The 16,908-nt window shown below is 40.5% G+C and overlaps 1 protein-coding gene across 10 annotated transcripts in view; it reads right to left on the minus strand.

Moving 5' to 3' along the window:
• INTS14 (integrator complex subunit 14) overlaps positions 1–16,908 on the minus strand; it is a 32,375-nt gene that overhangs the window by 8,042 nt on the left and 7,425 nt on the right. For 9 of the 10 annotated variants that reach the window (NM_001207059.4, NM_001366360.3, NM_001136043.4 and 6 more), the window contains 6 exons: positions 12,976–13,131; positions 12,074–12,192; positions 11,523–11,665; positions 8,935–9,027; positions 6,630–6,774; positions 4,800–4,933 (listed from right to left, as the gene is read on the minus strand). In NM_001207059.4, coding sequence (NP_001193988.2) covers positions 4,800–4,933; positions 6,630–6,774; positions 8,935–9,027; positions 11,523–11,665; positions 12,074–12,192; positions 12,976–13,131 — 790 coding nt within the window. The remainder of the gene's footprint in view (positions 1–4,799; positions 4,934–6,629; positions 6,775–8,934; positions 9,028–11,522; positions 11,666–12,073; positions 12,193–12,975; positions 13,132–16,908) is intronic. The other variant, NM_001207058.4, reaches the window with a different exon arrangement.

The raw sequence follows: 16,908 nt of genomic DNA on the forward strand, positions 1-16,908 counted from the left end.
CCAGAAAAGGAGAACAGAGAATACAGAAAGAGGAAATCAAAGAAATAATTGATCTTCCCAGTACTGAAGATCATGAATTGCCAGATGGAAAGGGTCCACTGAGTGCCTAGCAAAATCAATGAAGAGACCAACATTCTGAAATTCAGAATACCAGGGATACAAAGAAGATCACCAAGGAATATGGAGAAAATACAGTTCAGGGTCAAAGGTCTTTGAGTCACCATGGCACTAACTTTCCGTAGCAACACTGGACTCCAGAAGAGACAACAGAGTAATGCTTCAAAACTCTGAGGGAAAATGACTTCCAACTTAGAACTCAATTCCCAACCAAACTATCATTAAATATAAAGAATGAAATAAACATATATATATTTTCAAAATATACAAGATTTCAAAATATTTACTTCCCATGTACCCTTTTTTTCAGGAGGAGTTATGAACAGGAGATCCATAGGAGAGATGTAAAGGGGAGACTCAGGACAACACCTATGCAACAGGTCTGGGGAATAACCATACCATTTATGAAGCAGGAGGATGGGAGATGACGCTAAGAAAAAAAAAGGAAACTGAGAAAATACCTGAAGAATGTATTTTACTTAGGGAGGAATTAGTTATATAGAAAACAAGCAAAGAAAAAAAATAACTGGGACTGAGCTAGGGGACAAAAAGTTGCAAAACAAAGGAAATACAAATTGGTATAGCTTAGTTGTAAATAACATTTACATCATGTAACAAGGACTGAATACTGATTTAACCAAAAAGAACATTATAACTATATTGGGAGGATAGTAGGAGGGGAAATGTGCGTCTTGTGTAGGTGGGTGGGAGATGGTGGTGTTAATAGAGCTAAATATTCATCCTTTAAAAAGTCAAAAAATGGCATCTAAAATGGGGGAAAAGGGCTGAGTGTGGTGGCTCACGCCTGTAATCCCAACAATTTGGGAGGCTAAGGTGGAGGATTGCTTTAGCCCAGGAGTTTGAGACCAGCCTTGGCAACATAGTGAGATCTTGTCTCTATAAAAAAATCAAAAAAATTAGCCAGGCATGGTGGCATGCACCCGTGGTCCCAGCCACATGAGAGGTTGAGGTGGGAGGATCACCCGAGAGGTCAAGGCTGCAGTGAGCCAAGACTGTGCCACTGCACTTCAGCCTGGGTGACAGAGTGAGACCCTGTCTCAAAAAATAAATAAAAAATAATAAGACGGGAGGCCGGGCACAGTGGCTCGTGCCTGTAATTCCAGCACTTTGGGAGGTCAAGGCGGGAGGATCACTTGAGGTCAGGAGTTTTGAGACCAGCCTGGCCAACATGGTGAAACCCCGTACCTACTAAAAATACAAAAATCAGCCAAGCGTGGTGGTGGACACCTGCAGTTCCAGCTACTGGGGAGGCTGAGGCACGAGAATTGCTTGAATACAGGAGGCAGAGGTTGTAGTGAGCTGAGATCACGCCACTACAGTCCAGCCTGGGCAACAGAGCAAGACTCCATCTCAAAATAAATAAATAAAATAATAATAATAATAATAAAATGGGGGAACCCCTGACAGAAATAGGGACATACCTATATTATTTAGAAATGTAAATAAGGCTGGGCAGAGTGGCTCACGCCTGTAATCCCAGCACTTTGGGAGGCCGAGGCAGGAGGATTACTTGAGGTCAGGAGTTTGAGACCAGCCTGACCAACAACATGATGAAACCCTATCTCTACTAAAAATACAACAATTAGCCGGGCATGGTGGCTTGTGCCTGTAGTCACAGCTATTAGGGAGGCAGAGGCAGAAGAATTGCTTGAACCTGGGAGGTGAAGGTTGCAGTGAACCAAGACTGCTCCACTGCACTCCAGCCTGGGCGATGGAGTGAGACTCTGTCTCAATTAAAAAAAAAAAAAGAAATATAAATAAATACCAAAAGAAACAAATAAGTTTTAAAAAGTAGTTGTCTCTAGGAACAGAATTGGGAGTAGGAGGGATTGGTACAAACAATAGTGCTATTTTGCATGTTTTGCTCAACAACCCTCTGAGGTAAGTTTTATTATTAATTGTTATTTGTTATCATAATTCCAATTCCAAGACTGCTGTGAGAGTTAAATGAGATGGTATGCTCATTATGTCCAGCACAGTGCCTGGCACAAAGTTAAGTTCATTATAATATTAGCTATTATTATCCACACTGAAAAGCAGAACAGATCCAGGAGGAAAAAACAACATGAACACAGGGCAGAGTGAACAGCAGTTCAACTGGAATGAAGAACAATTGTAACAAGCCAAGTGTTGCTATGTTGGAAGCCAGATCAGAAAGGAGTCTGAATGCTACTACTATCTTAGATTATAGATAGGCATCTTTGGTGAAAACCATCACAATAGTCTAGTCAGAGGTTGGCAAACTTTTTCTGTGAGGGCCAGACAGGTTGGAGTGCAGCGATGCAATCAGGGCTCACTGCAGCCTCTGCTTCCTGGGCTCAAGCGATCCTTCCACCTCCGCCCCCTGAGTAACTGGGACCACAGGTGCACACCACCATGCCCAGCAAATTTTTGTATTTTTGGTAGAGATAGGGTTTCGCTATGTTGGCCAGGCTGGTCTCAAACTCCTGGACTCAAGTGATCCACCTGCCCTGGCCTCCCAAAGTACTGGGATTACAGGCATGAGCCACCACACCTGGCTGAATATTTATCATTTCTTTGTGTTGTGAATATTCAAAATCCTCTCTTCTAGCTGTTTGAAAATATACACTAAATTATTGTGAGCAATATTCAGGCTACCATGCTACAGAGCACTGAACTTTTTCCTCCCTAACAGCTGTAACTTTGTATCTGTTACCTCTGCCTATTCTCCTCTCCTCACTACCCTTCCCAACCTCTAATGACCATGATTCTAGATTCTACTCTGTACTTCTATGAGCTCATTTTTTTTCAGCTTCCATATATGGGTGAGAACATGTGGTATTTATTCCAAGTTTATTTTTGTACACAAAAACTCAAAATTTGTGAACCACTGCCCTGAGCAATCTCCCTCATTCTCACCATTTTAACTATTTATGATAGGCTTACAACCTAAAATTTTATCTCCAACTCTGCCCTCTCTCCTAAACTTCAGACTTCTACAGAATTGTCTCTAGGTACCTCCACCTGTATCTCACAGGCACGAACTCAACATAAACAAAATATGTTCTTCCCAAATTTACTCTTCTCTCTGTATTATCTATTTCAACTAATAGTACTATCTTTCACCCTGCAGCCCAGGTCAGAAACCTGGGATCAATTTTAACACTTCTCTCTCCATAATTTTCATATCCAAACATTATTGATCCTACCTCCTAAATATCTTTTACCCCCAGCTATTGCCACGGTCTGGCTCTCATCTTCACATTTCCAGGATTAACACAGTAACTTTCAGCCACAGGTCCTTGCCTTTTCAGATCCACACTCCACAGAGATATCTTTCTAAATACAAATTTCTTATCTCTCACTTGGATTATGGCCATACTGTACAACTGCAGGGGGCACCAGCCCCTAAAATATAGTTTCCTAACTGGTATCCCCCTGTTCTCACTGTAGCCAGAAGGATCTGATCACATTACTCCTCTTCAGTGGTTTCCCAGTATCTGCAAGATAAATTCCTGGTTCTTCACATTTCAGACAAGGCCTGCTCCACTCTAGCTACTACCAATCTCCAATCTACCATCTGCCCCTCCCACACCCACTCTCACATTTTGTGCCACACTTCCTTTTCTTTCTGTAGGTGTTCTGTTTGCCCAGGATGCCCTTTCTTCCCTTCATTAGCTCAGCAAGTTCCTCCTTTTCTTCAAAACTCAACTAGGGTATTTCTCCTCTGTGAAGATTCTCCTGAGTCCTCTAGGCAGAGCTCATCATCATCTCCTCCAGGCTAACTCTGATTTGTGCCAGTCTGTGATCATTCCACTTTCCACTAGACTTTGAACAACTCCAGCTAACTCTTTATCCCTTAGGCCTGGCACAGAATAGGTTGCTTGGTAGATGTTCCTGAAATTGAAATGGGCCCAAATGAGTCAAAGATGACTACAGTTGGAACCTGAGTAGCTAGTGGCACAAATGACTTAATCAAAAGGAGGAGGAAAATCAGAAGGAGGAATAGTTTGAGGAGAAAGGGGTGCGGGACAATAGGTCTGTAACAAACAGCTGAGCTTGAGACTGTGACAGAATATCCAGGTGTAGAGATCCAACTAGGAACTGGAAATATGATATGCAAATTCCAGGGAGAGATCAGGTAAGACTAGAGTTATAGATTTGGGAAATGTGAAGTTATTACAGCTGATAAAATAACCAAGGGAGAAGAATAACCAAAGAGAAGAAGGCAAAGAACATGTTGGAAACCATGAGGCAAGGAGAAGAAAAGACAAAACGAAGAGAGAAAGAAAAGTCCGCCAAAGAAAAAGTCAAATCGGTACCAGAAGCAATGTCAGGAAAGCTACAGAAAAAAAGTTTCAAGAAGGAGGAAAGATTACATTATCTAGGAATGACAGGAAATTACTTGAACTATAGTACACCAAGAAAAAAAATTATGGAGATTAGTTTTTCACTCTAAGCCGCTGAAGAATTTGCATTTACTTAAAGCAATCTAAATGTTGATTTCTCCTGAGCTGTAAAATTTAGGAGTTCAAACATCAAACTCTCTTCAAGTTTTCACCGTACACATCCAGCATCATCCGAGACCATGGCATACCAGTAAGGGAGATCAATCAGTTCTCTGACTGCACAGTCAGAGACATTGAGAACAGCAGAATGAAAACAAAGTCAGGATAAGTAAAATCTGATCTGGATTATACCTGAAATAGGACCCAACTGTGCCATTTTCCCTAGCCATGGGAGAGGTTCTGGGCCAGGCTCAAAGAGAGACATCATGAGGTTTGATTTCTTCTTGCTGTCAGCTTGGGAGTAGAGCATTCCATGCCATTCAGGACTAGATGGAGAGAAGACGGAAGATCAGAAGAACATCAAGCCTGAGACTGTCAAGTTAAATAAGTCTAGCCTGTATTTTTCTCTTGAGAGACACAGGCTTCAGCTTTGAAATCAGGCACACTACTTTTACCAAAGCCAAACCCTAAACCTGAAAATGCATACTGCTGTCCCCTAATATTTCCATTCTTCTGAGACATTTATTATTATTCAGGTAAAATTATGTGGATATGGAAATCAAAAGCAATCTTGAAAGAGAAAAAACAAATCACAAAGGGCAGCAAGTAGCTGGAGAGGTGATGAGGAGGGGTAAAGGCTGTGACCTATAGGTCCTGTCACCTGCCTCACTGAGTCACTCACAGCAGCACCAAGAGAAGCCCTTCTACCACAGGGCTCAAGGCCATCATCCTGTTATGTAAAAGAGACTCTGTCCCCAGTTTCTCAAAGGGTCCCAGATGATTCTCATATTCAGACCAGTACAAGTAGCTTGGGTGCCAAGAAATATAGCAGACTAATATCTAGTAAGATCTGCATTCCTCTTTTTGGACCAGCTAATTTTAACTGTAGCAGAAATGGAGCCATGCTTCCTTTAATTAATCCTAACTCTTGATCTATACCAGCCAACCCCAGGTAGTGGCCAGAAAATGATCAGTGACCTCCTTTTTTCTAAAAATATGTATTATAGAAAGGGAAATAGATGGTTTTGCAGATTTTGAGACTTCAGAAAATGTAAAAGCTAACGGGGTTTCCTCACAGGGAAGGAACACAGCAGAATGATTATGAGTAGGCTCTGGAGTCAGAATGCATGGGTAAGAATCATGGTTCTTTCATTACTAGCTGTGTGACCTTGGGCAAGTTCCACAACCTCTCTTAAGCCTGTCTCCTCATCTATAGATAGGGATAATGCTGATACCTCCCATATAGTGTTGTTATGAGGGATTAAATGTGCTAACATATGTAAAATACCTAGAGGAGTGCCTGGCACATAATAAAATGCTCAATGTTATTAGCATCTTTTTTTTTGTTTCGTTCTATCCCCTCATTTTATAGATGAGAAGTCTGTGAATCCTGCCTAAGATCCTAAAGCAAGTTAGTAGCATTGCTATAACCAGAACCCAGGTATTCTAGATAGGATTAGAAAGAGGAAAATTGAGAAAGGATATAAAATAAAGGCAACGTAATTAAAAGGCTCACTCCACACTTATTCTAGGGGATGATTAAAAGAGTAGTTTAGAAGGTAATAGCAGCTAGGTACTGTGGCTCAATGCCCGTAATCCCAGCATTTTGGGAGGCCAAGGTGGGAGGATCCTTGAGCCCAGGAGTTCAAGACCAGTGTGGGCAACACAGTGAGACCCCACTTCTATAAATTAAAAAAAAAAAAAAAAAATTAGCCAGGCATGGTGGTGCACACCTGGGTCATGGCTACTTGGAAGGCTGAGATGGGAGGATTGCTTGAGCCTGGGAGGCTGAAGCTGCAGTGAGCCGTGATCATGCCACTGTACCCCTGGGGGACAGAGCAAGACCTCGTCTCAAAAAAAACAAAAAAAAAGGACTGTAGTAGCAGGTGGGAAAAGTGTGTGGCAGGAAAAGGAAAAAGGTGACAAGGACCTTTCTATTTCCTTCAGAAAAGTCTGCAAAATACTTCACTTTGTAAAATGATTTTCCCTTTCATTCAACCAAATGTAAACAAAGTTTCCTACCCTAATTGAACAATCGCTACCATTCCTTCCACTTTTAGGCTACCATGGAGCAGGACACAAAAGTTGGGTATTTTGCCTGCAATCTGATTGGCTGAATTTTCATCTTCATTGTCATCAGTGATGCCAGTACCCACCTCATCACCTTCTGTGAAAAAAAGAGAAAACAGGTCAGACTGAAATTACCTACAAAAACCCCAAACCCCAATTTATACTCTTGGATGTTTCTAGCCTTTAAGGGATAGTGTAGAGTTCTAAGGGAATATTATAACAAGCAGGAAAAACTCATTCCAGTTTTCCAATATCTACATAAAAGTCAGTTTCCACACATTATATGAATTCCATTTATATAAAACATCCAGAATAGGCAAATCTATATATACAGAAAGGATATTAGTGGTTATTTGGGGTAGGGGAAATGGGGGGAGGGGTCTGGGAGTTGATAGTTAAAGGGTACAGGGTTTCTTTTTGGGGTTATAAAAAAGTTCTCAAATTGATTGTGGTGATGGTTGCACAACTCTGCAAATATACTAAAAACCACTTTAAATGGGTGAAGTATATGGTATGTGAATTATATCTCAGTAAAGCTTACACACAAAAATCCATTCTCCACAGTTCCACTAGGATGTTTAGTTAGATGCTATCTGGAAGCTTCAGGCACCCATTTAAACAGAATTAGATACAGAGATGTCAAGTGCATTCATAACCAACAGGCTTAGGGCAGCACATGCATGTGAGTCCCCAAAGGTAAACAATGATTATAAGCTTTTTGACTGGATTCTCCAGTTTCTCTCACACTCTGCTGACAGATGAATCTTCCTACAATTAACTTCCCTCTAAAAATATCTGTCTGCTCTGCTTTGTTCAAAGACTTTCTAATTCAACAGGAAGAATTAGCCCAGTTTAGCTAGAAAATTCAACAGCCCTTACAAAATGGCCCTACTCTGCTTTCCCATATTTTTCTTTTTCTTTCTTTTTTTTTTTTTGAGATGGAGTCTTGCTCTGTTGCTCAGGCTGGAGTGCAGTGGCGCGATCTCGGCTCACTGCAAACTCCGCCTCCCAGGTTCACCCCATTCTCCTGCCTCAGCCTCCCGAGTAGCTGGGACTACAGGCGCCTGCCACTACGCCCAGGTTTTTTTTTTTTTTTTTTTGTATTTTTAGTGGAGATGGGGTTTTACCATGTTAGTCAGGATGGTCTCAATCTCCTGACCTTGTGATCCACCCGCCTTGGCCTCCCAAAGTGCTGGGATTACAGGTGTGAGCTACCGCGCCCGGCCACCTTCCCGTATTTTTCTTTTCACTATTCCCCTATATAAATGGTTTATTTTGCTTAATTTCTTTCTTGGTAAGTATACTGGCATGCAGAATTCCCCAGGGCCTTAGAACTAAGGGAAATCTGGCTGTTCTCTGAGAATAATAATTACCAACACAGTGATTATAAAGCTGTCTGTGGGTATATATTCAAGATTCTGTCTGTGAACATGTGATTGGTTATAGAATATCCAATACTCCAACTGAGATAACCTGGGCATAAATGGGATGTGGTCATTACTCAGTATGTGAAAACCTGACTGACTACATACAGTTCTTAGAGAAAGCTGATAAATATAAAGTGGATGGTCAGCTTAAAACAGAGGAAAAGATAATTTTAAGGGTAGAACTAGGATTTGAACCTGTAGCCAGTCAGGGACAAAAGCTCCTGCTCTATACCCACCACAGCACAGTGCCACCCCTGAAAAAGATAATTTTAAAGAGTTAGAGTCTAGCATTCTCCAGAGAGATGCTGAATTTGAGGAGATGACTTTATAGTTCCTAGAGATATATGCTGCAGTAAGGAGGACCCACAAGGGCCTGGATTCACCCATTCATTCAACAATATTTACTGAGTTATCTACTATGTGCTGGGCACCAGTAGAACAAAGAACAGATGTGATTCTTCCGTGTATAAAGCTGTATTTGACTTGCACATTTATCAAGTAACCATCTGATAACTACTTAAGCTTTCTCAGCATGTTAGTACTAGGAAAGGCAGAGCCCTGGATGAGGGACTAAGCATTCTCATCTCTAAAGAGGACCTCCACTGTCAATTCACAAACCAACACACAGTAAATATGTGTCAAAATGTTTCTACCATGTAAAGCAGAATTACTTTTTTGATATATTAGGCAATATTCCATTTTCTAAAATCCAATTCTGTAACTATTCCTTTCCCCTAAATTCTGCAAAATGGGCTATCCTACTATCTAAGATTTAAGAACAACTTTAGTTAATAAGACGCTTCAGACGTATCAGTGGAATAGGAACTCACCTTTGTTAAGTGCTATAGGTAAGACCAGATGTCTGGACAGAACTGGGGGACTTGAAATATCAGCTATATCAATAAATCCCACTATTTCCAAATCTGAAATGAAGGAATCAACACAGAATTAATTCATTCTATGGAAAAGTACATTATTTTCCATGTATTACATTTCACAAATGCACTGTTTAGGTTGGGGTTTCAAATATGATGACTGGGAAAGTTATTAGATTTGTATATGGAGTCGTCTAATAATTTGCATTTTAAGCTGCTCAGGAAATAATGATAACTGTCATTGATTTAATGAGTCTAAGTTATATGACAAAATCAGCTAAATTTTATTTTTATAAGGTTAGGACCCCAGCCAAGGCAAAAACTGAAAGGTCTAATCCCTCTGTGTAGTCAGGGATGTTCAGGTCACCAGGGGGCATCATAGTCAAACACTTCCGCAGCAACTACACTCAGCCTTTGAAGAATAAAGCTATTGTATTAAAAACATCTCTCTGAGAAAGAACTGTATTCTCTACAAAACTAGGGTAAGCAGTCTAAATATGACAATGACTTCTCTGCTTTATAGACGCTGTAGTAAAGACCAAAAGTATTTGTTGAAAACCTAAAATAAATAAAAATGAATGTTGTAACCAAAAGAACTTAAACATTTCGATTATATAATATAAAAACTTAAAAACAATAAAAATTATAAAGAAGAAAAAGTCACTCATTATTCATAATCAAAGGAAATCTCTATTAATATTTTATTGATGTGCTTTTCAGTCTTTCTTCTAGATTAATACCCATATTTTCAAAAGAATTTTTAAAAATCAGAATCATGGTGAACACCTTATATTTCTTTTTTCTTTTTTTGAGATGGAGTTTCGCTCTTGTTGCCCAGGCTGGAGTGCAATGGCGCAATCTCAGCTAACTGCAACCTCCTCCTCCTGAGTTCAAGTGATTCTCCTGCCTCAGCCTCCCAAGCAGCTGGGATTATAGACATGTGCCACCACGCCTGGCTAATTTTGTATTTTTAGTAGAAACGGGGTTTCTCCATGTTGGTCAGGCTGGTCTCCCGACCTCAGGTGATCCGCCCGCCTTGGCCTCCCAAACTGCTGGGACTACAGGTGTGAGCCACCGTGCCCGACCCTATTTCTAAAATATTAGGAAGTGTGCTTCTCTGGAGATTTGCTGTCCATACCTCCCTTAGCTGAGTAATAAATGCATTAGTATAAGCAGCTAGATATTTTTCATTTGAGTAGAAAAAGGTCTACTTTATTTTAAAGCAGTTTAGCTGCAAGAAAGATCTTCCACTAAGAGTTTATATGGGAAAGAAAAGACCTATTCAAATTTACTCATCGAAAAAGGATGGGAAGGAAGTGGAATCTAACTGTTATGAAGGCAACAAGACTTTTGGTACAACTTAATGTACTACTGTCTAGTCACAGTAGAAGAGATGGATGCCTTGCTTCCAGAAGCTAAAGGCACAAAAAGTAAAAAGACTGTTCACAGCCCCTCACTCCAACACTCCTTAAAAATCTGTATACCACAAACAATGAGCATTCACTGAACATTTAATTCTAATCATTTATTGACTGAACAATTACCTATTGGGCACCTACTAAGTGTCAGGCACTATGCTGGACATCAAGGCTGTAATGGTGACTGAAACACTGATAATATCCAGCCCTAAAAGATTTAACATGCACCTAAGATTCAAGGAGTCCACCCACCAATAGGAAGCAAGTCTCCTCTCCACTGCTCCTTGCTATTTTTGACTCTTCACTTTGCCAGTCTCAGTTAAGCATAGTATTGGCAACACGAACCAGGTAAAAGCTGTGGTACATCACTTTCTTTCAGTCATAATATAAGCAGCAGTGCTAGAAGAGTACACTATATCAGATCCAAGAACTCCAAGACCATCTGGTTGATTCTCCCTGCCTAGCCAATAAGAACTAGAGGAAGACTTCCCAGGGTCACATATCAAGAGTCATACTGCAAAGTATAGAAGCTAGCCCTTCTTATATGACCTTAATTATGATACTAATTAAGTTCAGTATGTCTATTAAGAATCATCTCAAAGATTTCAATGCTAGTGAATACGGCTATGATTTCCAACTCTAATAATTCGTGGTTATAATTATCTAGGATTGGAGATCAACTGATGACCTTACCATAAAAGACCAATATTCTGCCACCCCTTAGGTAATGAATCTTCCAATCCAAAGTGCTGATGACAACAGCACCCTAGTACAGGTTGAGTATCCCCTATCTGAAAATCTGAAATCCGAAATGCTCAACAATCCACAACTATTACACATGCACGAAGCTGACACGAAGCTCAAAGGAAATGCTCACTGGAGCACTTTGGATTTTCAGATTAAGGATGCTCAATCACTAAGTAAAATGCAAATATCCCAAACCCCAAAAAATCTGAAATCTAAAGCACCTCTGTTCCCAAGCATTTTGGGTAAGGAATACTCAACCTGTACCACAATATATATTTCTTTTCAACCTTCCTAGACAGAGAAGAGAGTAAAAGTCACAAGTCAGAAGAAAGTAAGGATAACAGAGAAACTAAGAAATAAGTTTTTTTAAAAAGTTACCTGTGTTAATGACTTTAGGGATAGGATCAATTTCTTCATCTACAACAAAAGGTTCTGGCCTGGGGAAGACTTGTACATCAGCAGTTAGGTGGCCACACTTGAGAACAGCATGGAAAGGCGTATATGCCAAATCTATCAGTTTTCTAGAATATGATAATTAATAGTTATAGGAAGAGTAATACGATACATATGAAGTTAATTTTTCAGGACGCAAGGGTTGTTTTCCTTTCAAGTTGGTTCCAAAACTAAGATCTGACCATCTGTAAAACAGAACAAAATCTGACATTTTTGGTGAGGAAATTTCAATTCTGAAAAGCCCAAGAGCAAGTTAATTTGAAATTTTGCTGAGTCATTATAAGGAAGTCAGTATCTACAGACAGTATAGATTTACTTTAAAAAACCATTACTACCCATCACTTTATCTGAAAAATGTACAACTTGGGGAAAATGAAATGACACAATTAGGAACAGTAAAACAGATAGTCTTCCTGGATGTCAAATTATAATACTGGATTGTAAAGAAGGCAAAAGAGCTCTAAGCATATACTCACCCAAACATAGACTGTACATTCTTCAAGCACAGGGGGCCATCAATAGTAAAAATCTGCCCTTCACCATTGTTTAAATCTATGAGACGTTCAAGGCATTCCAAGGAATCGGTGCTCTGGAGCTATAAAGCAAAACAGATGACCCTTAAAGTGGCTGGCACAAAATGCCAGATTATTCTCAGCTCACCAAGGTCAAAGCCATTACGATAACATAGGCAATAAATAACAGATGATTTTTTTAATAGCCAATGTGAGAAGAAAATAACAACAACAATTTTGACTCAAGGTTACCAAAGAGGAATGTTACGTAAAATAACACAGGTAGAGCTATTTCATTCAGGAGTAGTTTTGCAAAGATTCTCAGAGGTGACCACAGTATTTACACAGCATCTTCCCTCCAAAGTGTTTCTAACGTCTTTTGGTGAGAACCATCATTATCTACATTTTACAGAGAGAAAAACTGAGGGGAAAAAAGGTTAAATCACCTTCCCAAATGAATGGGAAAACCAAGAATTTAAGTGTTTAATAAAACGTGTATCAGAATAATGTTACTTTACTCTTCTGTCAAAGTCAAAGCACACTCTTGTCAACATTTCTGGTGGAATGGACATAAGAATTCTATATAAGGGAAATGAACAACACCAAAAAGAACACCTTGACCCTTTATGCACCCATCAGCAGGATGGATAACAACTCCAGCTATGTTCCCCAGATGAGGCAACACTCTGAAATTTCAAAGAACATTTGAGACCCAGAATCTTTTCAAATAAAATACCAGCCTCAGCTGAAACCAATGGAGTTCAATGCTACAGTATATACAATATAGCACTAGTGGTATATACTGAAAAATAAACTAAGCTGTAAAATATGCCTAATCAAACTAAAAACTTAGCAAAAGGTATTACCTCCTCCAAATTCGCCATGCACATGATATATAACTTAGATGGGAAAGGAAAAGGTAGTGGAAACCTGTTGCTCTCACTTCGTTGATTTTGAGTGGCTAGGGAATGTCGCAGTGACCCTCTACCAATGCCAAGACAGCCGTCTGTCACCAGGACAACCTGTTTGTAAAAAGAGAGAGAGGAGGTTGTACATTAAATTACATATTTAACGCAGTCCCATTTAGCAGTGTTTTCACTGCTAGAAAGGGGCACCAGGGCTGGCTATGGTGGCTCAAGCCTGTAATCCCAGTGCTTTGGGAGGCCAAGGCAGGACTGCTTAAGCCTAGGAGTTTGAGACCAGCCTGGGCAACATAAGGAGACCCCATCTCTAAAAAAACTTAGAAAAAAAAAATTAGCCAGGAGTGGTGGCATGCACCTGTGGTCCCAGCACGTTGGGAGGCTGAGGTGGGAGGATCACTTGAGCCTGGGAGGTCAAGGCTGCAGTGAGCCATGGTCACATCACTGTACTCCAGCCTAGGCAACAGAGAGACTCTGTCTTTTTAAAACAAAACAAAACAAAACAAAACAAAAAAAACAGGCCTGACATGGTGGCTCACACCTGTAATCCCAGCACTTTGGGAGGCCAAGGCAGGCAGATCACTAGAGGCCAGGGGTTCAAGACCAGCCTAGGCAACATGGTGAAACCCTGCCTCTACAAAAAATACAAGAATTAACTGGGCATGGTGGTGCGTGCCTGCAGGCCCAGCTACTTGGGAGGCTGAGGTGGGAGGATCACTTGAGCCTGGGAAGTCGAGGCTACAGTGAGTATGCCACTGCAGTCCAGCCTGGGTAACAAAGTGAGACCCTGTTTGGAAAAACAAAATAAACCCTCAACCTGGCCCCGCAAAAAAAAAAAACAACAAAAAAAGGCACGAGAAAATTTTGTGAGGTGCTAGAACCCCACTCCACATTATAGGATAAAGAATACTATATCTTAATTGTAGTAGTGGTTATATAGGTGTATACATTTGTCAAAACTCAGTGAACTGTATACTTAAGATCAATGTGTTTTACTCTATTTCATCTAATAAAATATTTTTTAAAAGCTTGCCTCTGAACACTTAAAAAAGGACAAAAACATTCACAACCAATTCTTACTTAATTGTATTAAAACTAGAACCCCAACTCTTAGATAAGGAGTTGGTACCTAACATAACAATGTCAAATATGGAATGAAGATTCATTTCACATGTGCTCCTAGGAAGTACCAGCACAGTAGTCTGAACTTTGCCACTTTATTTTCAAAGATGACAAACTCTACGCCTGGTCAACTAAAATGACACCTAGTTAGAATATGTATTTATAAAGGCTATTTAACCAGAAATATATAAGATCTTTAAAACGCATTCTTAACCTGTAATTTGAAAAAACCAACAAAATATACCAACAATGGATAGTAATTGCAAAATCATTTTCCTTTTCTTCATTGCTTCAGAATGATCCTGTGGTGGACAGACTTCCCATGCATCCCAGGAGAGGATTATTTTTGCTCTCCCTAGCCTAGTCCAGTAACTTGATAACAATAGGCCATTAAGGCAGTATTTTTTTTTTGACAAGGAGACTCACTCTGTCACCCAGGCTGGAGTGCGGTGGCGTGATCTCAGCTCACTGCAACCTCCGCCTCCCAGGTTAAAGTGATTCTCCTGCCTCAGCCTCCCGAGCAGCTGGAACTACAGGTGTGTGCCATAAAGCCCACCTAATTTTTGTATTTTTAGTAGAGACGGGGTTTCACCATATTGGCCAGGATGGTCTCGAACTCCTGACCTTGTGAACCGTCAGCCTCGGCCTCCCAAAGTGCTGGGATTACAGGCGTGAGCCACCGCGCCCGGCCCTTAAGGCAGTATTAAGTGGTGGCACTGTGTGAAATATCAAGATTGGCACTTACTGATAAAGCCCAAGAATGCTTAATAGAGGTCCCCTGGAAGGATGTCATCTTTTGGCATGACAGTCAATTGACTACAAGGCAATTTCCTTTTCTAGGTACCAAGAATTGCTATACAATGATTTACCTCCATCGGCTTTTTCAGATGCTATGGGATAATGAAATATTTCACGTAATGTCAAAATGAAACAGACTTTACTAAATAATAAAGACACAGTACAGCTGTCTAAAACCTTGGTTAAGGCTGGGTGTGGTGGCTGACAGCTGTAATCCCAGCACTTTGGGAGGTTGAGGCCAGAGGATCACTTGAGGCAAGGAGTTCAAGACCAGCCTGGCAAACATGGCAAAACCTTGTCTACTAAAAATACAAAAATTAGCTGGGTGTGGTAGTGCACTTCTGTAGGGCGTGATGGCACACTCCTGCAGTCCCAGCTACTCATCAGGTGGCTGAGTCATGAGAATCATTTGAGCCCGGAGGCAGAGGCTGCAGTGAGCTGAGATCATGCCACTGCACTCAAGCCTGGGCGACAGAGCAAGACTCTGTTTCAAAAAAATAATAATAAATAAAAAACAAAATCTTGGCTAAAAATTCCACTTTTTTTTTTTTTTTTTAAGACAGAGTCTCGCTCTGTTGCCCAGACTGGAGTGCAGTGGCACGTTCTCGGCTCACTACAAAATCCACCTCCCAGGTCAAGTGATTCCCCTACCTCAGCCTCCCAGGTAGCTAGGATTACAGATGAACGACACCACACTTAGCTAATTTTTGTATTTTTAGTAGAGACAGGGTTTCACCATGTTGGCCAGGCTTGTGTTTAACTCCTGACCTCAGGTGATCTGCCCACCTCAGCCTCCCAAAGTGTTGGGATTACAGGCGTGAGCCGTCGCGCCTGGCCAAAAATTCCACATTTAAGCAAGTTTGTTTTATAGTAACTGATTATAAAAACAATAACCAGTAAACACCACCTCTACTACAATGTTTTTTTTTTTTTTGAGACGGAGTTTCTCTCTTGTTGCCCAGGGTGGAGTGCGATGGCACAATCTTGGCTGACCAGTGCAACCTCTGCCTCCCCGGTTCAAGCGATTCTCCTGCCGCAGCCTCCTGAGTGGCTGGGATTACAGGTATGCGCCACCACGTCTGGCTAATTTTTTTATTTTTAGTAGAGACAGATTCAGGCTTGGCCCCTTGCCCTCACGTTGTCTCAAATTCAGATTCTTCCTTTTTTTCAAAAGAAGAAAATCATAAAAGTCAGAAGTCTGCATGATGCACAAGGTCTGGTTCTTAAAATCTGAATTTCTCCTCTAAAACCAAAGAAGAAATAGCAAATGAAACTGTGCTACTTGCTAGCTTTCAGTTCAGAAGATACTGACAACAAAACTTCATTTATTCACTATAATGTTAGGAAATAAGACATCCTATATGCATGGATTTACCAAAATAAGTAATGCCTATAAGCTGAGATGCCATAAAAAGCTTTTTTATTTCAGAAAAGAAATTGATCAAAAGGCATCTATTGATTTCTTCAGCAAGTATCCACTATATTCTATAAAACAGGGAGGTTTTCACAAGAAAAAATGTTTTTGTTGTTTTCTAAAGGTGAGTTTATTGAGATATAACTTACATGCAGTAAAATCACCCTTTTTAGTATACAGTTCTATGAGTTTTGACAGTTGTATTCAGTCGTGTAACCACCCCCACAAACAAGATAAAGAATAGTCCCAACACGTCCCAGATTCCCTCCTGCTTCTTTTGAGTCAATTCATACCTTTCCCTGACTCCCAGGCAACTACAATCTTATTTTTTTTAAGACAGGGCCTCACTATGTGGTCCAGGCTGGTCTTGAACTCCTGGGCTCAAGTTATCCTCCCACCTTGGCCTCACAAAGTGCTAGGATTATAGGTGTGAGCCACCATGCCTAGCTACAATCTTTTTTTTTTTTTATTAATAAATAAATACTAGTGATGCTACTGACATTACTGAGGAATCCTTTGTTTGACCCCATAATGAAAAGTCACAC

This window comes from Homo sapiens, chromosome 15 (assembly GCF_000001405.40).
Source record: "Homo sapiens chromosome 15, GRCh38.p14 Primary Assembly".
NCBI classification, from domain to species: domain Eukaryota; kingdom Metazoa; phylum Chordata; class Mammalia; order Primates; family Hominidae; genus Homo; species Homo sapiens.